The 27,671-nt window shown below is 45.4% G+C and overlaps 1 protein-coding gene and 1 pseudogene across 30 annotated transcripts in view; one reads left to right on the forward strand and one right to left on the reverse strand.

The window, feature by feature from the left end:
* Nucleotides 1-27,671, forward strand: part of ATG7 (autophagy related 7) — a 303,957-nt gene that overhangs the window by 230,505 nt on the left and 45,781 nt on the right. For 14 of the 30 annotated variants that reach the window (XM_047447296.1, XM_011533277.4, XM_006712932.5 and 11 more), the window contains one exon: nt 7,284-16,633. The exons of 13 other annotated variants lie outside the window; for them this stretch is intronic. In XM_047447296.1, the coding sequence (XP_047303252.1) occupies nt 7,284-7,421 (138 nt within the window). In that variant the 3' untranslated portion in view covers nt 7,422-16,633. Of the gene's footprint in view, nt 1-7,283; nt 16,634-23,162; nt 24,112-27,671 lie in introns of those variants that run through there. 3 more of the 30 variants (XM_017005551.2, XM_047447304.1, XM_017005548.2) reach the window with 2 other exon arrangements.
* On the reverse strand, nt 26,587-26,854 carry CSTBP1 (CSTB pseudogene 1; annotated as a pseudogene).

A 27,671-nucleotide genomic window follows, 5' to 3' on the forward strand; every position in this document is an offset into this window, starting at 1 on the left:
GGAAACTGAAAGTTTGCTTTCTGTTAAGGGTAAAACAGGCTTTTGGATTAGGATACACCAGCCAGAGTTGAAAGTAGCGTGTATACCACTGAAAATATGGGATTAAATGAATGTTTACATACCAGATACAGGGGTATCCAAGCTTCTCCCCACACTAGGATCCAACAACACAGGTGGTCAGGCTCAAATACCTTCCAGGCAGGAGAGTGGGCAGTCCTTCTCCAGAGCCTCTGACCAGCTCAAAAGAGCAGTTGTCGGGGGCTCTTTGAATGACAGTCGGCCAGATGACCCTATACTGAAGGCCATAGTGGACTTCAGACAGCTTCTGAGTACCTTCTCCTTAAGTAGGAGCAGAAACCAAGTATTCCCAGATGTCTAACTCAAAAAAGACTAGACTAAATTTGAAGGAAAAAAGACAATGTAAGGAGATAAAAATGTTACATGTCCCAAAAAATTCTACTATCATTTATGTTCTCAGTAAGAACATATAATATGTACATATATCTTATCCCTCAGTGAAAGAGGTACTACATTCATGAAACAAAAAATGCTATTAACAAAAAAAAGGATATTCAGGCCGGGCGCAGTGGCTCACGCCTGTAATCCCAGCACTTTGGGAGGCTGAGGTGGGCAGATCACGAAGTCAGGAGGTCAAGACCAGCCTGACCAACATGATGAAACCCCATCTCTACTAAAATACAAAAATTAGCTGGGCATGGTGGCGCGTGCCTGTAATCCCAGCTACTCAGGAGGCTGAGGCAGGAGAATCGCCGGAACCCAGGAGGCGGAGGTTGCAGTGAGCCAAGATCACGCCATTGCACTCCAGCCTGGGCAACAGACCGAGACTCTGTCTCAAAAAAAAAAAAAAAAAAAAAAATCAAATGATTAAAAGTACTCTTAGAAATTAAATATATAAGTTTAAAATTCAGTAGAAGGATTAGACAGTGAAATTTAGACTATCTTCCAGAAACTAAGCAAAAAGACAAAGAAATGGAAAATAAGGGAGAAAAGATGAAAAGATGGATCAGGCTAGAAGCAATATTCAAATAATAGAGTTTGCGGAAAGGAAAACATAGAAAACAGGCCAGAAAAAATAAGGAAGAAATTAAAGGCAGTTACCCACAATTGAGAGAAACAAATGTCTCCATTGAGAGAGTCTACCAACTGCCCAGAACAGTAGATGAGACTAGACCAACACTAAGGTTCATCATAGTGAATTTCAAAACAGTGGGAACAAAAGACAGTCGAGAGGGGGAAAAAAGTTGATATACAAAGAATAAAAAATCAGAGTTGTTTTTGGACTTCTGAATAACTACACTGGAAACTGGAAATCAATGCAACAATGCTTTCAAACAATAAAGGGAAATTATATCTAATCTACAAGTCTGTATCAAGCCAAACCGCTCATTGAATATGAACATAGAATAGATACTTTCAGATACACAAGATCAGATAAACAAAACATTTGTCTCCTAGTCACCCTATGCAAACCATTGGAGGATGAACTCCAGAAAAGTAAGAGTAACCAAGAAAGGGAAAGAGATGGAATATAGGGAATGGGAGATCCCACAAAGGAGAGATTGAAAGGCATCCTCAAAACAGTAGCGAAGGGAAGCCTGGGGTGGCAGCTGGGCCTGAAGCACTGAGGATGACTAGAACAGACTGGATCCAGGCCAGAGGGCTCTAGGACAGATTGTGTTAAGATGAAATGGCTTGAATACCTAATGTGTCTGAACATATATTTAGGAGGTTTAGACAGTTGGCAGAGAGTTTGCGATTAAATTATTGATAAGTACATAGAGACAAAGTAGAACAACAGAAAAGACAGTTGTTAATTCCAGGGAAAACAATGTTGTACAAGAAAGAATAAGTAATCCTAGTATATTACATGGCTTACCTAGATACAGCAATTAAACAGTCAAAATAATGTCAACACTGGATGTAGATCTAACCAAAATTATAGTATAATTATGTTGAAATGGTGGAAAGATAGGGAGGCAAGAGTTTGCCATGACAGGGGTAAGGGGGCTCACAGCAGTGAAAGAGCCAAATCCTCATTTACCGAGCAAAATGGGAAATATATATAATGCCTAAACCTGAAAAGATCGAGAAGTCAAGAGGTGACAATATGAGCACGTTATTTTAACATACAGAGGTAACTAAAAGTATCAGGTAAGTCTCTACGGAGTATAGTATGGAAGCTGGGAGCCTGTTAATTTTCATAACAAGCCTTGGAATTATTTGGCTCTTTAAACTATGTTCATACATAATTTTACTCAAGTGAAAACGTTTTAAAAAGAACAAAAGTGCTATGAGAATGGGCAGACTGGGTTTTTAAAGGACGAGTAGGAGTTCTATAGGCCTAGGGAATGGAGGAGTGTTCGCGCAGGTAGAGAAAAGAAGACTAGCGGTAAGCCAGGTGTATCCTGGCTCTAAGGAAGCTTGGGATGTAGGATATAGTCACACTTAAGTATATGGGCTTTTCTCCCTTGGTGTCTGTGTTGTTTAGAATTGAAGACATGGACCTTTTGTTACTGATAAAATTATAACCTATTACTATTTTTGGTTATTGTTTTAACATAACATTATTCTTTGAATTGATCTCAAAGAGAGGAAAATGAGAGGTCACTGAAATGACCCTGGCAGTAAAATTTGCTGAAAAGCAGCGTCCTTTACAAGTCCTTACCTCCGACCGCAAAAGAGTCTTCTAAAGACCACTCTCAGCCCTCAAGGGTCCTTGCAAGTCAGTGACACCACAGGAAATGGGAACCTTGCCAAGAATTAGGGAAATTCAGGTGTCTGCAAGTCCCTAAACCCTAGGGCCAAAAAAAGGATTTGGCAGATGTTTGTGTGTCCTGGAGGCAGATGGATGAAAGTATCAGTAGGCTCCGTGGCTTAAGTGCTAGTCAGTGCTCGCCATTGGTCTTTTGCAGTCTTGTCACTTCTGTCTGGAGGCATTCAGAGAGCTGAAAGGTACACAGTGCAGTGGTAACATCTGGAATTGACCCCTGGCTCCACCATCTTCATGATTAGTAAAGTCACTAAGCCCCTTTGAGAGCAAGATCAAGGCAGTCACAGTCACAGGGGCATTATGAGTATCACGTAAAGTCATGTATTCATATATGGGAATGCTTTGTAAATAGAACATTTCTGTATAAATCTTGCTTTCAGTTAGTGAGTTTGTGTATTTTTTGAGTTGGTCTCTCTGTAAATGTGCCTTCTTTCCCTAGTACATTTATTATTACTGAGTCCAGGTACGTTTGTGTATTAGTTAAGGTATAGGCTAAGGTACTATAATAGACCCCAGAATATCACAGTTTAAACATGGTAGAAATTTGTTTCTCCATGTAACAGTCTAGAGCTGCACCATCCAGTGCGGTGGCCACTAAGCACATTTGATTATTTAAATGTAATTCGAGCAAAATAAAAAGTTAACTGCCTCAGTTGCACTGGCCGCATTTCAAGTGCTTAGTAGCCTCTTGGCTAGAGGTTACTGTATTGGACAGCACAGATAAAACATTTCCATCATTGGTTGGGTGTGGTCATCCTATGTGCTTATGCGTATCAGCACTTTGGGAGGCCAAGGTGGGCAGATCACTTGAGGTCAGGAGTTTGAGACCAGCCTGGTCAACATGGTGAAACCCCATCTCTACAAAAAAAAAAAAAAAAAAAAAAAAAAAAAACCCAAAAATTAGCTGGGAGTGGTGGCAGGTGCCTGTAATCCCAGCTACTCAGGAGGCTGAGGCAGGACAATCACTTGAACCCAGGAGGCAGAGGTTGTGGTGAGCTGAGATTGTGCCACTGCACTCCAGCCCGAGTGGCAGAGCGAGACTCTGTCTGAAAACAAAACAAAGCAAAAAAATGCTTCCATCATCACAGAAAGTTTAGTTGGGCAGCCCTGGTCTAGAGGAGTGGTCTAGAACTTGATGGGTGCTCTGCTGTACAAGGTCATCCACAGGCCTGAGTTCCCTAAATATTATTGCTCTGCCATTCCCTAGGTAAGGATTCATAGCATTTTTTGTGCCATGGATCACTTTACAGAGTGACAAAGGCTAGGGACCACTTCACAGACTAATGCTTTTAAATGTGCAAAATCAGGCTGGGCGCAGTGGCTCATGCCTGTAATCCCAGCACTTTGGGAGGCTGAGGCAGGCAGATCACTTGAGATCAGGAGTTTGAGAACAGCCAGGCCCAACATAGTGAAACCCCGCCTCTACTAAAAATACAAAAATTAGCCAGGTGAGGTGGCACGCACCTGTAGTGCCAGCTACTCAGGAGGCTGAGGCAGGAGAATCGCTTGAACCCAGGAGGCGGAAGTTTCAGTGAGCTAAGATCACACCACTGCACTCCAGCCTGGGAGACAGAGTGAGACTCCATCTCAAAATAAATAAATAAAAATTTTGTTTAAATGTGTAAAATAAAACACAGAGTTACAAAGGAAATTAATTATGTTGAAATACAATTATCAAAGTATTTTAAAAACCCAAAATTTATGACATAGTAATATGTACTTTATTAATACATCAAATAATGATCTAGTGTCAATTCTAAAGGCTATTTTTGTAATTCCAAAGTAGTGATGAGTATTTGTGATATTTCAAGACAATCCATAAGTATAATGTGATATGAAAATACCTATAATTTCTGTTATTGACAGAGTCATGGACACTGCTAATAATGTGGTTTGTTCCCTCCATTATAAGTGAAGGAAATGCTAAAGTTATGGGTGTTTTTTGTTTTTGTTTTTGTTTTTGTTTGTCCTTCCAAATTTAAAGACCAGTGAATTCTATTCATGGACTCCTTGAGGGTCTGAGGACCCCAGGGTTAAGAAGCCCTGCTGGGAATTATTAAAGCTAGCCCAGCAATTTTAAGTCCACACTCTAGATGTGGGAAGGAAGAGAGGAAATGGAAGGCAACCATTTCCTGCTTAAAGGACTGGACCTGGCAGTTGCTCACATCCCATCTCATTGGCCAACATTAGTCACATGGGGTGTAAGGCATGCTGGGAAACACAGTCTGTAGTTGGGCAACCCTGAACCTTGCTGGTAATTAAAAAAAAAACAAAAAAACAAAAAACAAAACAAAACTGGGAGAGTTCCATCAGTAAAAGGAAGAAGGGAAGAATGGCTAGTAGGATAAACAACAGCCTCTACCACAGCTTGGCTCATCTCTATGGAATTAAAACAAAAGTGTTTTTTCAAAAATGTGCTGTTTACTCTCCGACACTTTGTATACCTTCAGGTCTACAGCAGATGTCAACAGGAAGCATTTCACTCTTACTAGCTATGGACAGGCCCCTATGGTGGTGCCAGTTCGTGAGGCACACAGTGTCTAAGGTGGGGGGGTGTCCAATCTTTTGGCTTCCCTGAGCCACGTTGGAAGAATAATTACCTTGGGCCGCACATAAAATACACTAACGATAGCTGATGAGCTTAAAAAAAAAAAAAAAGAAAAAATTCATACTGTTTTAAGAAAGTTTACAAATTTGTGTTGGGCTGCATTCAAAGCCATCCTGGGCCACATGCGTTAGACAAGCTTGGTCTAAGGGATATAGCTTTATTTTTTAAATAAGAGACAGAGTCTTGCTCTGTGGCCCAGGCTGGAATGCAGTGGCCTGATCATAGCTCACTGCCTACCACAAATTCCTGGGCTCAGGTGATCCTCCTGCTTCAGCTTCCGAAGTAGCTGGTGTACCACCATGCCTGCTAATATTATTATTATTTTCTTGTAATAGAGACAGTGTCTCACCATCTTGCCCAGGCTGGTCTCCAACTCTTGGGCTCAAGTGATCCTCCTATCTTGCTTTCCCAAAGCGCTGAGATTACAGGTGTCAGCTACCATGCACAGCCCTATGTAGCCTATTTTGAACTAATAATCCTCAGTTCTGTGCCTGTAGTTGCTGACAGAGCCAACACTTCACAAGTGTTGGCTTCTGAAGTGTGTTTGTCTCTTGCTTAAAGCAAACTCGGTACAACGTGATCTGCACTTACAAAACTAATAACAAATTAATAACAAATTAGATCTCTGCTCCTGTTACCAATGACCAATATTCTATGTGCAAGAGAGCATAAGTAGAAGGAGACAGACTTTTTCCAAACAAACAGATCCCTTGAGCAAATGCCCTTTAAACTTTAAAATAACAACCCCCTTGGGTTGTGCAGGCCTTTAACTTTTCAGAGAGCTTTAAGTACCTTAACTCTTCTTATTTTATTAAAACACCCAGGTCATGGGTTGGTTTTTTTTCTTTCCAAGTTAGTTAAATAAATAAGCAATTATGACGCAGCGCCACATGGCCAACAGCTTTTAGCTTATAAACATAGAGTTTGAAAAGCAGTACTTAGAGGCCAACTTGGTTGGCTGCTGCCGGCAGGAGGGAGCCGAGCTGTTCCCGGCCCAGATAACACTTAAAGGGCCAGGCAGGCCCTCATGCATGCACATTTGTCTACATCCAGGGAGCTGTTTTTTTTCTGATGCAACATGAATTTCAGTGTGGTTTTTTTTTTTTTTAAGTGCCAAATTGTGAGCTCCTGATGGCCAGCCACTTGTGTCTTATAAGCCTCCACAAAGCCTGGTGCAACTCCTTGTATGTCACAGACATAGACATGTTTGCTGACAAATTGTTTGTATTTTATGAGCGTTTATAATGGCCTTTTAAGTAAGTGACGTTTTAGAGTTTGCTGAATGAAGAGTGATTTTTATTTAGTCTCAGAGGCACAGTTGTTTGGTGTGGTTGGTTTTTTTTGGCCACCCCTCCCCCAATCTATCTCTAATTTTAAGATGTGATTCACTAGGAAAATATGATTCTGTTAATTGAATTCATTTTATAGCCAACTTTTCAGGAACCTATCTATTTCTGTAAAGTGAGAGCCACTTGTAAATGTACCGTTTGGTGCCAGCACTCAAATTTTCCCTGACTCAGTTGCTCCAGTGGTGTTTAAATATCTTCCCATAAATCAGGCAGCCAGCGCTCCATACTTATTTACTGGGTCTTGTGATTCAGCCCAGGATCCTGATAGTGATCTTGGATGGGTGATATAAATAGACTAGGATTTGCCAATGGCTATTTTTATCAGGGAAGCTTTCTAAGTTGATTTCTTTGAACCCAGAACAACTTCCTCCCTCTGGCTTCCCCTGTTTTCCTCCAAGACTAGGGAGATCCTTTCTTTATTCTGCCCGCCCATCTTCTGCCCCTCCCCCAGCCAGCTGGTGTCTGCAGAAATTAGAAGGAAGGTACGTGCCTGACACAGAGTTGCCTGAAATCATATATCTTTACCCCCTTTCAGGATCATCTTTCTTTCATCCGGCCCAAGAATGGCACCTTCCCCGCCCATCAGGCCACCTGCACTCAGGAGTCGGCTGCCTGTCCTGAAATAGATCTCTACCAGCTCTCAAGCAGAACAATTCCTTGCATTCATACTTGAATGTATAATTTGTGTTATTACCTCTTATTTGTCTTTGTAAGTTTGTCCCTGCCCCAGTTTAAAAAAAAAAAAAAATCTGAGTTACTGCTACTGAACCAAAGGGCCTCATTCGAGGTCTTCTTTCTCCCCACCCCCTCCCCCATCCCAGTGATACAGATGCTGCCTTGTCTGGTCAGGCCTTCAGGGAGGATGTCCTGACCCCCTCAACCCCCCATCTCCAAAGCTGTCCCCTCGCTCTTTGTGCAACTCGCCGCCCACATCCAGCACAGTAAAAGCAGGCTGTCAGCTGGGAGAGGCTCGCCTTGGAGGACTGTCCTTTCTTTACATCCTCTTCCCAGGGCTTCATGCTGCAAAACAGCACATTCTCAACATGAAACAAAAATGGATTCTGTTTTCTTTTTCACCTAGTGTTTTTGGCCATACTGTTCTTGGCAGTCAGACTTCCAGGCTTGGGGTAGAATCGATAGCTTAAAAGATAAATGTTTACACTGGTCAGCAATGTGCCATTTGGAGCCTTGGTGCCCCTGGATAATTTGCCAGAGTCTGTGGCTTTGTGTCCGGAATTGGTGGGTTCTTGGTCTCACTGACTTCAAGAATGAAGCCGCGGACCCTCGCGGTGAGTGTTACAGCTCTTAAGGTGGCGCGTCTGGAGTCTGTCCCTTCTGATGTTCAGATGTGTTCGGAGTTTCTTCCTTCTGGTGGGTTCGTGGTCTCGCTGGCTCGGGAGTGAAGCTGCAGACCTTCGCGGTGAGTGTTACAGCTCATAAAAGCAGCGTGGACCCAAAGAGTGAGCAGTAGCAAGATTTATTGCAAAGAGCAAAAGAACAAAGCTTCCACAGCGTGGAAGGGGACCTGAGCGGGTTGCCAATGCTGGCTCAGGCAGCCTGCTTTTATTCTCTTATCTGGCCCCACCCACATCCTGCTGATTGGTAGAGCCGAGTGGCCTGTTTTGTCAGGGCGCTGATTGGTGCGTTTACAATCCCTGAGCTAGATACAAAGGTTCTCCATGTTCCCATCATATTAGTTAGATACAGAGTTTCGACACACAGGTTCTCCAAGGCCCCACCAGAGCAGCTAGATACAGAGTGTCGACTGGTGCATTCACAAACCTTGAGCTAAACACAGGGTGCTGATTGGTGTATTTGTAATCCCTGAGCTAGATATAAAGACTCTCCATGTCCCCACCAGACTCAGGAGCCCAGCTGGCTTCACCTAGTGGATCCTGCACTGGGGCTGCAGGTGGAGCTGCCTGCCAGTCCCGTACTGTGCGCTCACACTCCTCAGCCCTTGGGCGGTCGATGGGACTGGGCGCCGTGAGCAGGGGGTGGTGCTCGTCGGGGAGGCTCCGGCCGCACAGGAGCCCATGGCGGGGGTGGGAGGCTCAGGCATGGTGGGCTGCAGGTCCTGAGCCCTGCCCCGAGGGAAGGCAGCTAAGGCCCAGCGAGAAATCGAGCACAGCACCGGTGGGCTGGTACTGCTGGGGTACTCAGTACACCCTCCGCAGCCACTGGCCCAGGTGCTAAGTCCCCCACTGCCTGGGGCCAGCAGGGCTGGCTGGCTGCTCCGAATGCGGGGCCCACCAAGCCCACACCCACCCAGAACTCCAGCTGGCCTGCAAGCGCCGCATGCAGCCCTGGTTCCCGCTCGTGCCTCTCCCTCCACACCTCCCTGCAAGCTGAGGGAGTGGGCTCCAGCCTTGGCCAGCCCAGAAAGGGGCTCCCACAGTGCAGTGGGGGGCTGAAGGGCTCCTCAAATGCCACCAAAGTGGGAGCCCAGGCAGGGGAGGTGCCAAGAGCAAGCGAGGGCTCTGAGGACTGCCAGCATGCTGTCACCTCTCAGCTTCACCCACCCAGTGACCTTGAGTCTCCTTAACTTTCCAACTAGCCTACCTCCCAGAGGTCCCCCACACCCCTCTCCCCTCCTTCGGCCAGCCCTGAGGGCCAGGCCCTTTCTCACTTCCTGAACCAAGTACTGGAAGTAGAAGAAACTGTTGTCAGGCTCCGAGTTCCACCTCTGGGTCAAGGGCTCCAGAGCCTGGTGCTGCAGCTTGGCCAAGGGAACCCAAAAACCAGGTCAGCAGTACATCCACTCTCTGAGCTTTGGTTCTGTCATTGCACAGGATTAATGTTCCATCTCAGATTAACTCTGAAATCAAATGAGGTAATGTATTAGTACTTGTGTGTACAGAATTGGTGGGTTCTTGGTCTCACTGACTTCAAGAATGAAGCCATGGACCGTCGCAGTGAGTGTTAACAGTTCTTAAAGCGGCACGTCTGGAGTTATTTGTTCCTCCTGGTGGGTTCGTGGTCTCGCTGGCTTCAGGAGTGAAGCTGCAGACCTTCACGGTGAGTGTTACAGCTCATAAAAGCAGTGTGGACCCAAAGAGTGAGCAGTAGCAAGATTTATTGCAAAGAGCTAAAGAACAAAGCTTCCATAGTGTGGAAGGGGACCTGAGCGGGTTGCCATTGCTGGCTCGGGCAGCCTGCTTTTATTCTCTTACCTGGCCCCACCCACATCCTGCTGATTGGTCCATTTTACAGAGAGCTGATTGGTCCATTTTACAGAGAGCTGATTGGTGCGTTTACAATCCCTGAGCTAGACACAAAAGTTCTCCAAGTCCCCACTAGATTAGCTAGATACAGAGTGTGGACACAAAGGTTCTCCAAGTCCCCACCAGAGTAGCTAGATACAGAGTGTCAATTGGTGCATTCCCAAATCCTGAGCTAGACACAGGGTGCTGATTGGTGTGTTTACAAACCTTGAGCTAGATACAGAGTGCCGATTGGTGTATTTACAATCCCCTAGCTAGACATAAAGGTTCTCCAAGTCCCCACCAGACTCAGGAGCCCAGCTGGCTTCACCCAGTGGATCCCGCACCGGGGCTGCAGGTGGAGCTGCCTGCCAGTCCTGCGCCGTGCGTCTGCACTCCTCAGCCCTTGGGTGGTGGATGAGACTGGGCGCCGTGGAGCAGGGGGCGGTGCTCGTTGGGGAGGCTCGGGCTGCACAGGAGCCCACGGGAGGCAGAGGCTCAGGCATGGTGGGCTGCAGGTCCTGAGCCCTGCCCCGCGGGGAGGCAGCTAAGGCCCAGGGAGAAATTGAGCGCAGCACCAGTGGGCCAGCACTGCTGGGGGACCCAGCGCACCCTCTGCAGCCGCTGGCCTGGGTGCTAAGCCCCTCATTGCCTGGGGCTGGCAGGGCCAGCCGGCCGCTCCCAGTGCGGGGCCTGCCAAGCCCACGCCCACCCGGAACTCCAGCTGGCCCACAAGTGTGGCGTGCAGCCCCAGTTCCTGCTCCCGCCTCTCCCTCCACACCTCCCTGCAAGCTGAGGGAGCCAGCTCCAACCTTGGCCAGCCCAGAAAGGGGCTCCCACAGTGCAGCAGTGGGCTGAAGGGCCCCTCAAGTGCCGCCAAAGTGGGAGCCCAGGCAGAGGAGGCGCTGAGAGTGAGCGAGGGCTGCGAGGGCTGCCAGCATGCTGTCACCTCTCACTTGGAGTGCTTTATGAAACGTAGAGAGCATAACAACAGCAAGAATATCGTAGCTGCTGTCTTATGAACATCTACTGTGTACCAGGCACTGGGTTTCTTTTTTTGAGGCAGCATCTTGCTGTGTCACCACTATGCAGTCTTGATCTCCCACGCTCAAGCAGTCCTCTCACCTCAGCCTCCCAAGTAGCTAGAAGAACTACAGCTACTCATGTGCCACTATGCCAAGCTAATTTTTTTTTGGTTTTTTAGTAGAGACAAGGTCTCAGCCACTGTGTTTAGTTTAACACATGACTGTCTCATCTAATCCTGATAAATACCCTTGAAAATATTAACACCGCTCTTTTATAGGTAAGGAAAGTCAGGCTCAAAAAGATGAAGTAAGTGGCCCAGGATGACAAACGAAGGAAAGTGGTTGAGTCAAGATTGGAATCTGGCCAGTGTGACTTTTAGACCCATGTTCTCATCTACTAAGCAAACTGTTTTCCTTCCCATAATCAGGATTTGCAAGAGAAGCATAATTAACTTTGAAGATGGGCGTTTGCAATTCATTTTCTTGGGATGCCCATCTGACCTTCCCTTTTCAGATCAGCAGGCAGTTTCCTGTGCTTAGGACTCATTCCCCTCTGCAGAAGGAACTCTGGTGATTTTCCCACCGGGAGAGGGAGACATGAGATGTGGCTTCCTGTTCCAGGAAATACCGCCCAGTCTTTTTACCCACCCTCAGCCACCCCATGCACTATGTTAGTCATAGTCAGTGCATGGCGCTAGCCAGCTCTATGGTGATTCTGCCGGGTAAGCCACTAGCTGTTGAGATGACCAAAGCTCAGAAAGTGCTTGCTGCATTTCTGTTTCTGTTGTTGACAGTGGCCTGATATGCATAGCATACTTACATAGCTCCACTTTTCAGAGCCTCTGGCAGGTACAAATTAATCAATCCCCTGGCACAGCACAGTGCTAACCACAAGGAGAAAAGAAAGAGAAGTATGTTCCACGCAGGAGAAACTGCCAAGTTGCCAAGTGCATCTGGTCTAGGTTTTTTTTTTTTTTTTTGGAGAGAGAGTCTCGCTCTGTCACCCAGGCTGGAGTGCAGTGGCATGATCTCAGCTCACTGCAACCTCCACCTACCAGGTTCAAGTGATTCTCCTGCCTCAGCTTCCTGAGTAGCTGGGATTACAGGTGCGCACCACCACACCCAGCTAAATTTTGTGTTTTTAGTAGAGACAGGGTTTCACCATGTTGGTCAGGCTAGTCTCGACCTCCTTACCTGGTGATCTGCCCTCCTCAGCCTACCAAAGTGCTGGGATTACAGGCATGAGCCACCGCGCCTGGCCTAGGTTTTAAAATGCTTCGTTCCTGAGAAGATCTGATAGAAGTTGAATTTTAGTTTTAATTCAAGAAAAGGGACACTATAACACTTAGCCACTTTTCAGTGTGTTCATGTCTCAACTGAGAGGTGGTGTCGGTGTTTCTACTCACTGTGTCTCTTGCGCGTGTGTGTGTATGTATGTATTTTTGAGACAGAGTCTCGCTCTGTTGCCTAGGCTGGAGTGCAGTGGCACGATCTTGGCTCACTGCAACCTCCACCTCCCCGGTTCAAGCGATTGTCCTGCCTCAGCCACCTGAGTAGCTGGGATTACAGGCCCGTGCCACCACGCCCAGCAAATTTTTGTATTTTTAGTAGAGACGGGGTTTTGCTGTGTTGGCCAGGCTGGTCTTGAACTCCTGATTACAGGTGGGATTACAGGCAGGAACCACCCCGCCCAGCCTCAAGTGTATATTGACAAGACATTGTCCCAGGGGTAATGACAGAATTGAAAATGGTGACATGGGGCAGTGGGCTGCACGGCCACATGTATACATTAAGCCTCATAGAACTGTTCTCTCTTTCTCTCTCTCTCATACACATACACATCAGTTTTATCACATGTGAATTTTTAAAATATTTTAAGTAAGATGGACCCTTTTCCTCAAAGAGTGTAGGTACAGTTTAATGGGGGATAAGACAATGAATTCTCTTGCTGGGCTAAAGACAGTCTAAACCACAAGAGAAGTTGAAAAAAGCAGTGCTGTGGGGCTTGAAGCCAGCATGAGACACTGCTGGCCACGGGAAGTCTCAGCCTTGATGGTTGGGTAGTGTGTGCTGAAGATCAGAAAGTTTGTGGAAGGGCAGGGTAGAGGCATGGGGGAAGGACATACGTTTTGGGAACAGCTCACATTCCTTTTTAAAAAAAAAAAAAAACAAAAAAACATAGGACATAGTTCCTAAGCTGATGTTTGTTGAGCACCAACTCTGTACCAACTGCTATGTTAGTTTCTGGGGACTCTGAGATGGAAAGAATGCATCCCCAACTCATCAGGGAAGATATACAGATGGCAAATAAACACATGAAAAGATGTTCCAATAGCATTAGGAGATATACCTAATGCTAAATGACTAGTTAATGGGTGCAGCACACCAACATGGCACATGTATACATATGTAACAAACCTGCACGTTGTGCACATGTACCCTAAAACTTAAAGTATAATAATAATAAAATTAAAAAAAAAAAGATGTTCCACATCATATGCCCATTCAAATGACTAGATACCATGTAAACACCTACTAGAATGGCCAAAATGCAAAACACTGACAACACCGAATGGTAGTGAGAATGTGGAGCAACAGAAACTCTCATTCATTGCTGGTGGGAATGCAAAATGGCACAGCCACTTAAAACTAAACACACTCTTACTGTGTGATCCAGCAATTGCACTCCTTGAGATTTACCCGAATTAGTTGATAATAGGTCCACACAAAAACCTGCACTTGATGGTTATAGCAGCTTTATTCATAATTGCCAAAACTTAGAAGCAACCGAGATGTCCTTCAGTAGGTGAATGGAGAAATAAACTGTGGTCCATCCAGACAATGAAATATTCCATGATAAAAATAAATGAGCTATCAAGCCATTAAAGACATGGAGAAAGTTTAAATGCATATTACTAAATGAGGCTTGGCGCAGTGGCTCACACCTGTAATCGCAACACTTTGGGAGGCTGAGGCAGGTGGATCACTTGAGGTCAGGAATTCAACAACACCCTGGCCAACATGATGAAACCCCGTCTGTACTAAAAATCCACAAATTAGCCGGGTATGGTGGCACGTGCCTGTAGTCCCAGCTACTCGGGAGGCTGAGGCAGGAGAGTCACTTGAACCTGGGAGGTGGAGGTTTCAGTGAGCTAAGATCGCACCACCACACTCTAGCCTGGGCGACAGAGCAAGACCCTGTCTCAAAAAACAAACATATTACTAAGTGAAAGAAGCCAATCTGAAAAAGGCAGCATACTGAGTAATTCCACCTGTATGACATTCTAGAAAAGGCAAAATTATGGAGGCAAAAATTAGTTGGGGATGGTAGCGCATGCCTGTAATCCCAGCTACTGGGGAGGCTGAGGCAGGAGAATCGCTTGAACCCAGGAGATGGAGGTTGCAGTGAGTCGAGATCGCATCACTGCACTCCAGCCTGGGTGAAGAGCCAGACTCCACCTCAAAAAAAAAAAAGAAAAGAAAAGAAAAGAAAAAAACAATGATGGAGACAGTAAGATCACTGGTTCAGGTTAAGGGAGAGAAGAGGATGAATAGGTAATGCACAGAGGATTTTTGAGGCAGTGAATTAAAAGAAAAAAAACTCGATCCCTGTCCTTACGGATCTCTGGTCTAGTCGGAGTCAGCAGGCACACAGAGGCCTGCTGAGATGGAGAATCGATGCTCAGATTCTTCCTCTGTATCCAGAAGAAGCCAGAGGAGGGTACTGCCTGGCCCTGGGAGGCTTCACTAGAGGTTTTCGAGAGGAAGATGCACGTCTAAGGTGTGACGGGAAAGGGCCAGAAAGAGAATGAGGGAAGAACATTCCAAGCCACAGAAATGGCACATGGAAGAGAGCAGAGATGAGAGGAGAAACCATCTGTGACTTAGGTGGCTCAGCAGAGCTGGAGAGAGTCGGGCAATTGAGTTGAAGCACAGGCTGGGGCCGTGCCATGCAAGGCTTTGCCAGCTATACAAGGGCACCACATGCCGTGGGGAGAACCAGAGTGTTTTTAGCAGGGTGGTGTGATCAGATTCCTACTTCAGAAAGATGGGCACAGTGTGAGGGATGGATTGGGGTGATCAGGCTGGCTCAAGGAGTCCCAGTCAGAGAGGGCAGGCTAGAAAGAAGTAGACAATTGAATCGATGTTGAAAATATAGAATGTACAGGCTCTGGTGATTGGTTGGATGGTGAGTGGGAGAGAGGAAGGGGACCAAGGTGCTTCCCTGGGGTCTAGTTTAGATGGGTTGAGGGCGGGGCAATCAGAGAAAGACTAGTTGTAGAGAGAGGGAGCAGGAAAAGGGAAATAGAGCTAGAAAGTTAATTAGAACCATGCTGTGAGGATACTGAATGCCAAGGTCAAGACTGTATTGAAAAACCTGAGCCGAGGCTGGGCACAGTGGCTCACGCCTGTAATCCCAGGACTTTGGGAGGCCAAGGTGGGTGGATCACAAGGTCAAAGAGATCGAGACCAGCTTGGCCAACAATGGTGAAACCCTGTCTCTACTAAAAATACAAAAATTAGCTGGGCGTGGTGGCATGCGCCTATAGTCCCAGCTACTTGGGAGGCTGAGGCAGGAGAATCTCTTGAACCCAGAAGGTAGAGGTTGCAGTGGCCTGAGATCGTGCTACTGTACTCCAGCCTGTCAACAGAGCGAGACACCCTCTCAAAAAAAAAAAAGAAAAAAAAAACCTGAGACAAAACAATCTTAGTGCAGATCACTCTTTGTTACTCTGTTTCTTTGCTACATCAGACTTTGACCAGAACCTGAGATGGAGATGGACATCTGGGAGTTGCTGGATTCTAGAATAAACATTTGACAGCCTTTCCCAGAGTGGCCCATACCCAAATTGATAATCAGGATTGTGGAAGCATAGGGAAACACTTGATAGGAGCTGAAAAGCAGTGTACTTTTAAGAGAATAACTTTCACTGAATTCTAACAATTATTTCTGAAAGTATTGAATTCAACTGGTAAGATAAACAATCTTAATCTCCTATGACCCCAAGTTTCTCAGCTGGTAAATGAAGGAAAAAGACCTGTTGATCTCAGAATTCTCTTGCAGCTCTGCAATTCTAGCCTAATAAAAATTTTCATCAAGATTTAAAAAAAAAATCTTATATAAGTAAATATAGAGTCCAGTGCTATTTTTCATTGATCTTCAAACATTTTTTTCCCCAAATTTTAATGCTGAAACACCAACTTGCCAAATTTTCCAGAGTGCAAATCCCCTGCCCAGTGAGCTGTTATTATTTGAAAATATTGTGGCCTCTAAAGCTGACTTTATCTTTAAAAAACAATTTTTTTTTAACCAGCAAAAGGAATAAATTTCCATGTTTATACCAATGAGTTTCCTGAAACTAAGAAAAACTAACCATTATATTGTTTCATGTAAGGAACTTGGGTACTATCATAATCCCCATTTTAATGATGAGGAAATAAATAGGCGAAGGTAATTATTTCAGACTGTGTTTCCTTGACGCAGTATTTCTGGATGGTGAATCTTACTCAGATTTTGTTTTGATGCTATTCTTGGGATTGACTTGAGAAGCACCAGTGGCTGACTCTTTCTTTCTCAGTGCGGAGGGGTAAATTGGGAACAAGCTGTCTTGCTTTCATCATATTATTTGCTGTCATCATGAAAGGCAGGCAGTGAGAGGAGTTTTTTTTTTTTTTTTTTTTTTTTTTTTTTTTTTTTTTGAGACGGAGTCTCTCTCTGTCGCCCAGGCTGGAGTGCAGTGGGGCGATCTTGGCTCACTGCAAGCTCCCCCTCCCAGATTCACGCCATTCTCCTGCCTCAGCCTCCCGAGTAGCTGGGACCACAGGCGCCCGTCACCGCGCCCGGCTAATTTTTTTTGCATTTTTAGTAGAGACGGGGTTTCACAGTGTTATCCAGGATAATCTCGATCTCCTGACCTTGTGATCCGCCCACCTCGGCCTCCCAAAGTGCTGGGATTACAGGCGTGAGCCACCATGCCCAGCCGAGAGGAGTTTTTATACTACCTTAAGCATCTTTTGTTTCAAACCAAATCATCTTCACTTCCTCCTTCCCCTCCCCACTTGCAGATAATGACAGATTTTTTGGGATCTTACCACGGAAATAGCTTTGGGGCCACCTTCATACAGCTCAAGGCTGTGCTGATGTTGCAGGAGTGAGGGAAGGAGAGATCCCGTCCCATCCCCCAGATGGCAGCTGTGTGTTTGAGACTTTTGCACATGAATTTGTTTAATTTTCACCAAGGTCTTGTGAGACAAGGAAACTGAGGCTCAGAGAATGTCAGTAAACCCACCCAGAGTCACACAGCTAAAAGATGGCAGAGCCAGGATTCGAACCCACTTAGGCAGACCCCAGCTCATGCTCCACACCTCGATATGCTCCTCTACCATGAGTGGCAAGCCCTGGTTTATTAAAACTTTCCCAGCAGTGTTAGAGAACTCAAATGTCCGAAAGGCCATTCTCTTCCATTAGTTTATTCACTCAGTAAACAAGTGGAGCTGATACATCTACTTCCCTCCTATTTTGAGGGATATTTTGAGGATTAAAGAGCTATAATTCTGCTTATAGCTCAGCAGCGAGTGTGTGCTAACCAGTAGCTATTATGGCTACTGATGGTGGCTGCCGTGCCAGGCACCATACCGGATGGGCTGGGGACATGGGGATGAGGAAGATGCCGTGCTGGCCCTGGAGGAACACACACACAGGCAGCAGAGGAAATGGCCCCACAGCAAACAACAAGTGTGGGTGAAAGCAGGGCCTCAGCACACACATTCTACACTTCTGAGCTCGCCCTGTACCTCACAGCAGCCATTATGGCCACCTGACAAGCTTGGTCTCACAGTCATTCTGTGGATCTGGGCCTTGGCTTGTCAGTAACTGGCAATGTGTTTGGGAAGTGATTTCTCTTTCTTCATTATGTCAGCATTTAATAATAATAAAGAAAAAGTCAGCATTTAGTAGGAGCCACCCCACACCTCACCCGCCAGCATTCTTCCCTGAGAAGTAGGCACAGTTGGTTGTGAGTCTTCTCCATGGGGCCAACATTCTGCAAACAAGTGAGCATTTCCTTGCACTTAAGGCTGCCTATTAGCATCAGGGGAGTAGTAGTTGCTCCAGGCCCCACGCAGGAGCTTGAGAGGGAGAATAGCAGAGTGGACAGCTGTAGACCATTGGGTTCCCAGTTTCCCCTTCCATGATATGGGGAACATGGTAAAAATGCCTGTCTCGCAGCAATGCTGAGACATAGTTCCAACAGATGACAGATCATGAGATAATACATGTGCAGCATTTCAGATCAGTAGAGCCCTAGGCAGCCATTGGTTGCCATAGGCAGCCATGAGTTGAGAAGGCCAGTGCCACAGGAGCACAGGGGCCTAAGAACGCTGGCCATACGTGCTAGATGCTGACAAAGACCAGGGGAAAGCAGAGTGTGACTGGGACCGGCACAGGAAAGGGTGGCTAAGAGTCACAGAGGGTGACCTCACCTGGACTCATAAACCCAAAGATGAGGGAGGGGTATGTGGTGGTGGAGAAAAAGAGGTGACGTTTTAGACTGGGGAAAAGGCGCATCGCACAGCAGGGCACGGGGAAGGAGCAAGCCAAGCAAGGGATCTGCCCCTGGTCTGCTGCCAGGGCTGCCGTGGGAGCAGCATGGCCTGGCCAGCCCAGGAAGGGTTTTTTTGTTTTTTTTTTTTTAAGACGGAGTCTCGCTCTGTCACCCAGGCTGGAGCACAGTGGCGCGATATTGGCTCACTGCAAGTTCCACCTCCTGGGTTCACGCCATTCTTCTGCCTCAGCCTCCCGAGTAGCTGGGATTACAGGCGCCTGCCACCACGCCTGGCTAATTTTTTGTATTTTTAGTAGAGACGGGGTTTCACTGTGTTAGCCAGGATGGTCTCGATCTCCTGACCTTGTGATCCGCCTGCCTCAGCTTCCCAAAGTGCTGGGATTACAGGTGTGAGCCACCACGCCCGGCCCCAGCCCAGGAAGTTTTGTGGGGAATTTTCCTGACATGGAATGACTCTAGACTGCCGCCGCTGCCGACAACAATAACAAAGTAGATAAAGCCTACTGGTATGGCACTCAACTCTTTATGCCGTTGGTCCTCACTGCAGTCCTGACGTAGCTACCATTGTTATCTGCATTTTGTAGAAAGGGACACTAAGGGCCATAGAGTATTAAGGGACTTGCCCCTAGGTTATCAGCTAATAAGTGACCAAGCCAGGGTTCCGTTTCAGATCTGTCTATCCCTAGAACTCAAGCCCTTAACCCAAGCATTACAAGGTTATTCTTGGGAGGAGAATTGTATGCCTTCCAAGTGCATTCACCTCCTTTCAGCTAGCTGTGCCCTACTTGGGAACAGCCCTGTGGAAGAGGTAAGTCACCACGCAGAGGCTGGCAGATCATGTTGATGGAGTATCAGGGAACTCTGACACCCTGAAGCTGGGGAGAATCATGTATTTTTAGAACTGCCCACCTTTTGTGCCTTCATTCCTTTCTGCTAACTATAGGTGGGTTTACAGTAATTTGGAGATGATTCTGGGCTTGCTAGGGGACACTGGGGAATTCCGGAATAAGCTCACGATTTATTAGTGAGATGAGCGGATGAGCCTCATACTGTGCACAGTTCTGCAGGTCGGCTGAGTTAGTCACCAGGACTTAGGCAAGGCCACTGAGACACTCCTGTAAGAAGCTGGACAGAGCTGGGAGGGGCTTGAACCAGAAGGAATCGTGCCCCAAGGCAGCAGACATAATTATTCATAGAATTTAGACTAAAATTCTAGAGGTCATTTATACCAAAATGGTCTACCCAAAGCTTTCAGTGGGTAATTTCATATGACTGTGAACAGTAAATTCAAGTAAATCGTAACCTTCAAAATCGCCTGTCAAATGCCCACCCCAGGCCTAGACTGCTCTGAGCTTGTGGTACAGACTGTGAACATGCATGCTGTTTTGATTTAGTGTCTGAAGGCTTCCTTTCACAAATTAGTAGATAGCTCTGGATCTAGAACAAACGTATCTGAGGTCAGGTCCCAGCCCGCCACCTACCAGCCGCATGACCTCAAGCCACTTGCTTTTCCTCTCTCAGCCCTGTTTTCTCATCTGTAAAATGGACACAATGATACCTTTTAGGGCTTTTCAGAGGTGCCGATGAAATAGCCTGTACTTTATAAAGTATGTTGTAAATGTTGCTGACATAATTTTGTGTCCTGTAGGAAATGCTTCCTTGGGTGTTTGTATTATAGCCCAATCCAAGTCATCCCTGAGAACATCCCCAGGTTGTAAGGATTAGTCAGAAGTCATGATGACTGTTCTATATAAATATTTGGCCTATTAACTAAAATTAGTACCTTTCCATTTCTTCTCTTTCTTGGGCGGGGCAGCGGGGGAGTGCAGGGGAGGGGAAATAGGGAACGTTCAATTGTGTTTTAAGTAATGCTCATAAAATTCTTAGCCAAAGATGATCTTGCCCTCCACCTTGGTGACCCACCGCATACGGGGTACATCTATCTGGCCTGTCTCTAGGCCTAGACAGAAGAAACAGGGAGGATTATTGTTAACTTTTACCACATGTATGACTTGTTCCCGGACAACCCATTCTTCCTTTAGGCAGAGGTGATATGCACTGAAGTGTTTGATTTAGAGTGATGGAAAAGTCTGTGCTGCCATTCCTCAGGGAGTCCTAAACGTTGATTTGCCTTTGGGAGGGCCAGGCTTCACGAAAACCTGATTTACGGTGTTGCTCTGGGCCTGATTTCCTTTGCACACTCTGGAGGAAGTGCTCTGGTGATGTTGGCACTGAGCAAGCAACAAAGGTTTTAAAATGTCGGCCCTGGAAACAAAACTGTACCTTGTGATGTTAGAATAATTATACCACACTTGATCTCTGATTACGGCCAAAACAGCAGTTGCTAAATCCAGCTAACATGGAAAAACTAGAAAAAGTGAGGGGAAATCAGCCAAATGCATAGCAAGGGATGGGGAAAGCGGACCTGGACTGGACACAGAATCTTCTGTTTCCACTTGTCTGGTAATAACTGCAACACTTCATGGTCCCCAGCCCCAGCGCCCACCCCTTGTCTAGAGCCATTGCGCTCTGCATGTTGACACTAGCTGTGGGAACTCTGTGATTTAAAGTTGAGTTGAAAGAACTGCTTTTATCATTTCAAGTATGTAGCCCCAGGCCAAAACAGACAAAACAATTTTTTAAAGTCTCAGTTCAAAAGCAGCTTGAAATATTCTCTGTTCCATCAAAAGGAACCCCAAATCTCTCCACTGTTCTGTGGGCCCCTTTCCTCTGATTGTCTACCTGGCAGGCTCCCCTTCACTAGCTGTGCTGTGGCTTAGTTAAGCTGAAGTTGAAACACAGACAAAGGAAGGCATTGCTTTCCAGCCACAATGGAGAAGCCCATTCCCACTCTTGTCCCCACTGGGAAACTGGGTTAGAGTTCTGAGAAATGGGATTTTGGGGTTTCCCTTCAACTGTGAAATATTACAGAAATACACAAGTTCCATACACAACGGTGATAGCTGCTACATATTTCTCAGAAAAGCAGAATTCTAATAAAGAATGTATAGTCTGTTTTTTATGCTTTAATAAATACCAGGCACAGTGACTCATACCTATAATCCCAGCACTTTGAGAGGCCTAGGCAGGAGGATCACTTGAGCCCAGGAGTTCGAGACCAGCCTGGACATCATGGTGAAACCCCATCTCTCCTAAAAATAAAAATAATAATAATTAGTCAAGAATGGTAGTGCATTAGTCGAGAATGGTAGTGCATATCTGTAGTCCCAGCAGCTCGGGAGGCTGAGGTGGGAGGACCAGTTGAGCCCACAAGTTGGAGGCTGCAGTGAATTATGATCATGCCACTGTGCTCCAGCCTGGGCAACAGAGCAAAACCCTGTCATTTAAAACAAAAACAAAAACAAAAAAAAACAAAACAGGCATTCTGAGTCGATAGCAGATCCCCATTGTCCTGTCATCCTCCAGGTGAGGTTCTGTGTCTTACAGATTAAGAACATGACCCTAAATCAGCAGCAGATGTTTAAAATAACACAGAAACAAACCTCGTATATTCTATATTTTCCCTAGCCGCTTCAGAATTTGCTATGAAATTTAAGGGTATTTATTCCTCTGTCTGTGCAAATCTCACTTTATTTATTTATTTATTTATTTATTTTTGAGACTGGCTCTGTCACCTAGGCTGGAGTGCAGTGGCGCGATCTCAGCCCACTGCAACCTCCACCTTCTGGGCTCAAGTGATTGTCCTGCCTCAGCCTCAGCTGGGACCACAGGCGTGCACTACCACACCCAGCTAATTTTTTTATTTTTAGTAGAGATGTGGTTTTGCCATGTTGGCCAGGGTTGTCTCGGACTCCTGACCTCAGGTGATCTACCCGCCTTGACCTCCCAAAGTGCTAGGATTATAGGTATGAGCCACTGTACCCAGCCAGTGAAAGTAGAAATTATTTATTTATTTAACTATTCCTTGAAAAGAGGAAACAAAATGTTCCCTCTTTAGCCTGAATGATTAACTTTACTCATAAGAGGTTCACAGTAAGACATGTGATTTTTTTTTTTTTTTTTTTTTACTCCTTTGCCCTTGTATGTGACAGATGCTCATTTGTTTGTTGATTAACACCTTTTACACAGCCAACATTAATATCTAGTTATAGCCTTTTTTTTTTTTTTTTTAAACGGAGTCTTGCTCTGTCGCCCAGGCTGGAGTGCAGTGGCGTGATCTCGGCTCACTGTAAGCTCTGCCTCCTGGGTTCACACCATTCTCCTGCCTCAGCCTCCTGAGTAGCTGGAACTACAGGTACCCGCCACCACACCTGGCTAATTTTTTGTATTTTTAGTAGAGACGGGGTTTCACCGTGTTAGCCAGGATGGTCTCGATCTCCTGACGTTGTGATCTGCCCGCCTCGGCCTCCCAAAGTGCTGGGATTACAGGTGTGAGCCACTGCACCTCGCCAGTTATAGCCATTTTTAAATCAAAAGACCACTAGCAGCTGCTGAAAAGTTCTGTCACCTTTAATTCCTCATGTGTAGAGACTCTACCTCTCTCACAGGATTATTTTGAGAATTTAAAATGTTATTGTGATAGTTGACTAGGCTTGGTAAACTGTTCAGTGCTGTGCTGATATAAATGTGATAACTGCTGCTCTGTTTCCCAAATTCACAGGCAGAATATGAAATTCTGTAATCTTGAATCATAATCTTCATCAAGGGCCAGGCACCATGGTTCATGCCTGTAATCCCAGCACTTTGGGAAGCTGAGGTGGTCAGATCGCTTGAGCTCAGGAGTTCAAGACTAGCCTTGGCAACATGGCGAGACCCCATCTCTACAAAAAATACAAAAATTAGCCGGGCCTAGTGGTGCATGCCTGTAATCCCAGCTACTCAGGTGGCTGAGGCAAGAGAGTCACTTGAGCCCAGGGAGGCCGAGGCTTTAGTGAGCCGTGATCACTCCACTGCACTCCAGCCTAGGTGGCAGAGTGAGACTCAAGTCTCAAAAACAACAAAAAAACCCCCAGACAACAAGAAACATAATCTTCATCAAGAACTCTTACCATAATAGAATTTTGACTATTTTTTAAGATGCTAATTTATAAGCAATAGGATTATTAGCAATGTCCCTGATTCTACTACATTTTGTCAAAGTGGTTATTATTGGTGTATAGCAAAACTATTGATTTTTGTATGTTGATTATATTCCACCAGCATTGTTGACCTATCTTGTTAGTTGTAACAGTTTGAAAATTCTTTCAGATTTTCCACGTAGACAGTGGTATCTTTTGCAAATAACAATAGTTTATACTCTTGTTGTCTGTGTACCTCATTTCTTTTTCTTGTTTTACTGCATTCACTAAGGCTACAAAATAATGTTGAAATGAACTGCTTATGGAAGATTCCTGAAATTGTTCCTGACTTTGTTAAGAATGAATCTAAAGTTTTACCATTTACCATCATGTTTGCTGTAGATTTTATTAAGGAAGTTCCCTTTTGTTACTGATTTTCTGTTTTATTAAAATTGTGAGTGAAGGTAAAAAACTTTTTCTGCATCTTTTGAGATGTTTAATTTTTTGTCCTTTTATAAAAACTAATAGTGTGGTATATTAAATTACTATATATATAGTATATATATGTGTGTGTGTATATATGTGTGTGTGTGTGTGTGTGTGTGTGTGTGTATATATATATATATATATATACATACATATACATATACACACATTTTTTTGAGGTGGAGTCTCACTCTGTTGTCCAGGCTGGAGTACAGTAGCACGCTCTCGGCTCACTGCAACCTCTGCCTCCCAAGTTTGAGCAGTTCTCCTGCCTTAGCCTCCTGAGTAGCTGGGATTGCAGGCACATGCCACCACACCCAGCTAATTTTTGTATTTTTGGCAGAGATGGGGTTTCGCCATGTTGGCCAGGTTGAACTCCTGACCTCAGGTGATCCACTCACCTTGGCCTCCCAAAGTGCTGGGATTACAGGCATGAGCCACCACGCCTGGCCTTTTTTTCTTATATTGAACCATCCTTGTCTTCCTGAGATAATGTCATTCTCTTCTACCTGTCCCTGGGTAACTATTTAATACCATAGTTAAGAATTTGCATTCCTGGGAACTCATGGGATATCATCAGTGGCACTGAACTATTTTTCATGCTACATAAACACCTCAATTATCAGTATTATCAGGATTGCATGGGAAGGAATACAGAGATCTGTGGTCATAGGCATGAGAGTTACAATGTATGCCCCACAATCATATAGAAGGCAAACATATCAAAGTTTGAGAAAATTCTATCCTAGAAAGGATTTTAACTGCTTTAAGATTTGCCTGTAACAAATGGGTTATAGTTTAAAGAGGCTGAGTAACACTCTTAGTTTTAATTTAAAAACTCAAGTTACAGTTATATAAGGCCTTTCAGATGTCTTTTCTATTTCAGATGTTGTAACAGCCAACATAGGTAAGATTTTGTTCCAAAGCAGGTATTTTCATTTCCTTGTTTGTGACTACAAACACAGTAATGTGTTGCCCGTATCCATGCAGAAATGCAGGAGTGGGCTGATTTGTGATGCATCCTGCAGTCCTGCCTGTCATCTTGAATCATTAAATCTTCCCTGCTTTGCCTGTTACTTGAAGATCACCCACGTGTGGTCCCTTCTGCTTCAATTGTGGGCCTTCTGTTGCCTTCTCATGTTGGGGACCAACATGAGAAGTAAACGAACAACTTAATGAAGTAAAGTTCTGTTTACTCTTCTGGTTTGAAAGATAACCATTTCACGGGGCAAGGTTTTCTGCACTGAATCTTCTTTATAGCCTGCAACAATATTGACTTCATTCAACAAATATATCTTGAGCTGCTGTTATTAAATCAGCAAGGAGCAGCCCCTGCTTATGTGCCCAGGTTTATTGAAGTCATAATGGCACATACTTTAAAAAAACATAAGATAGCTATCTTACCTTCAGAGGAATCGCAGTCAGTCACTTACAGTCACCAATATCCGGGAAGTCAGATGGTCACGTACCTCCTATGTGTCAGCCATCATCAGAGACCTTGAGAAGCCTACAGAGAAAAATGCTTACCTCTGATATCACAGTCTGACATAGAGTCTACCAGAGGACACAATACAAAATGCATATAGAAAGTTAAAATAGTTTGGGCGCAGTGACTCATTCCTGTAATCCCAGCACTTTGGGAGGCTGAGGCAGGAAGATCCACAAGGTCAGGAGTTTGAGACCAGCCTGGCCAATATGGTGAAACCCCATCTCTACTAAAAATACAAAAATTAGCCGGGCATGGTGGTGCGCACCTGTAGTCCCAGCTACTCGGGAGGCTGAGGCAGGAGAATCACTTGAACCCAGGAGGCGGAGGTTGCAGTGAGCCGAGATGGTGCCATTGCACTCCAGCATGGGCGACAGAGCAAGACTCCATCTCAAAAAAAAAAAAAAAAAAAAAGTTAAAACAGCATTATGAGAATAAAATCACAATTCAGGGACACAGCAGAAGATAAGTCATAAATAAGATGTTGGACTCATGACTGCATATTCGGTCAGACTGTCAGCTGGAGGGAGAGAGGTACAGATAGGCTTTCTGCAGAATGGATGGGAACTGCAAAGGTGGGCCTGGAGGACATTTCAGGTAGAAGAAATACCATATGGAAGGCACTGTGGAAAAAAGGGGGCGGTACATTCAGGTGACAGTGGAAACTACACGTGTAGGTGGACAGGAGGGCATGGGAGGGGGACGGGGCAAGGAAGGCCTGGGAATGAAGAGGCTGAGGCTGACATCCTGGGGCACCTCCAAAGCCAGCCAGGTTGAAGAGTTGGGAGTTTGCTTTGTTTTTTAAGACTTAACAAATAAATATTTAAAGATAATATATAGCCCTTTTTGAAAGTAATTAAGATCATTGATTGGGAGGAAAAATCCAATAACATTTAGGAACCGTAACACAAGAGAAGCTGCTTGCCCCTCCTACCACAAGCAGTAAAGCCTATAGATGACATTGATTTTATGTTCCCAGATACGTGGCTTCAAACAGAGAATTGTTTTAAGTCTTAGTCATATGAATGAAGGGCCTTCTTCAAAATCAGGACTTAGAAATACAGCAGCTTGTCCTGTTGGCCTTGGGCTGGTAGTCAGATGAGGTCAAGGGCTTGTTTTCATGAGGGAGACTTGTTAAATACTTGGAAGTATACGATGTTATCAGCAACGTGAAGTTTGTCCCTGTGACCACCTGGCTCTTGAATACCACAGCCTTAAAAATAGGGAACTTCTTGATTTTTTTCTCATAATTGAGGCTTCACCTGGTTAGCAACGTCCTGGTCTCTTCAGTGGCAAGCATGGCAGGGGACACCCCACACGTCATCGTGGTAGCAGTGGGAGGGGACAGGGCAGAAAGGACCAGAGAGTTGATGTCTCTGCCCGAAGGTACCAAGGATGCTGAGATGGCTCTGTGCTCGTCAGCCCCTCAGGTGTTGGCTCTGTCACCTTTTGCTCCTTTGCCCTTTTCTTACTCACCCTAGCATGACCCATCTGCACCACCATCCTCTTGCCCAGGAGACAGGAGGGGCCCAGAGACTTCCTTCTCACTCCTTTTCTTTTGAAAGTGCATGTATGTGTTTTGGACAGAGGAGGACCTTCTACTTGGATCAGAGGTGTCGTTGGCTTTTTTGAGGACGCCTCTCGGTCTTGGCTGGAGGGTGGTGGTTGCAGGCAGGCCTGAGAACTGGATGACCCATGCAGAAAGAGCCAGCACAGATGTGTTATAATACCCTTCCCACCTCAGCAGACATGACTAAACAAACTCTGTCTGCTTTGAACAATTAAAGCATTTGTCAGAGCGGCTCCCAGAGAGAGCGAGGCCCTGCAAGCAGTGGCATGCTCTCAGAGGAAAGCAGTGTGTGTGCGGTGCGCGTGCAGTCCCTGTGCTGTTAGCAGGCTGCCTGGCCGTACTCCGAGAAGCACTCTGCATCGCCACCTTCTGCATTTAAACAGCCAGAATGACCTGAGCTTGGGTACAGGAGTGTAGCTTCCAGACTGTCTTTCATCAGTTTTGAGAAACTTGGATGCTGAATTGGGAAATGATGATTTGCTTTAAAGAAATGCAAGAAATGCAAAGATAAATACAAGAAAAACCCCAATTCTTTCCAGTCGGCACCCATTCCAGACTTGATGGTGAAAT

The sequence above is a fragment of the Homo sapiens genome, chromosome 3 (genome assembly GCF_000001405.40).
Source record: "Homo sapiens chromosome 3, GRCh38.p14 Primary Assembly".
Lineage (NCBI taxonomy): Eukaryota > Metazoa > Chordata > Mammalia > Primates > Hominidae > Homo > Homo sapiens.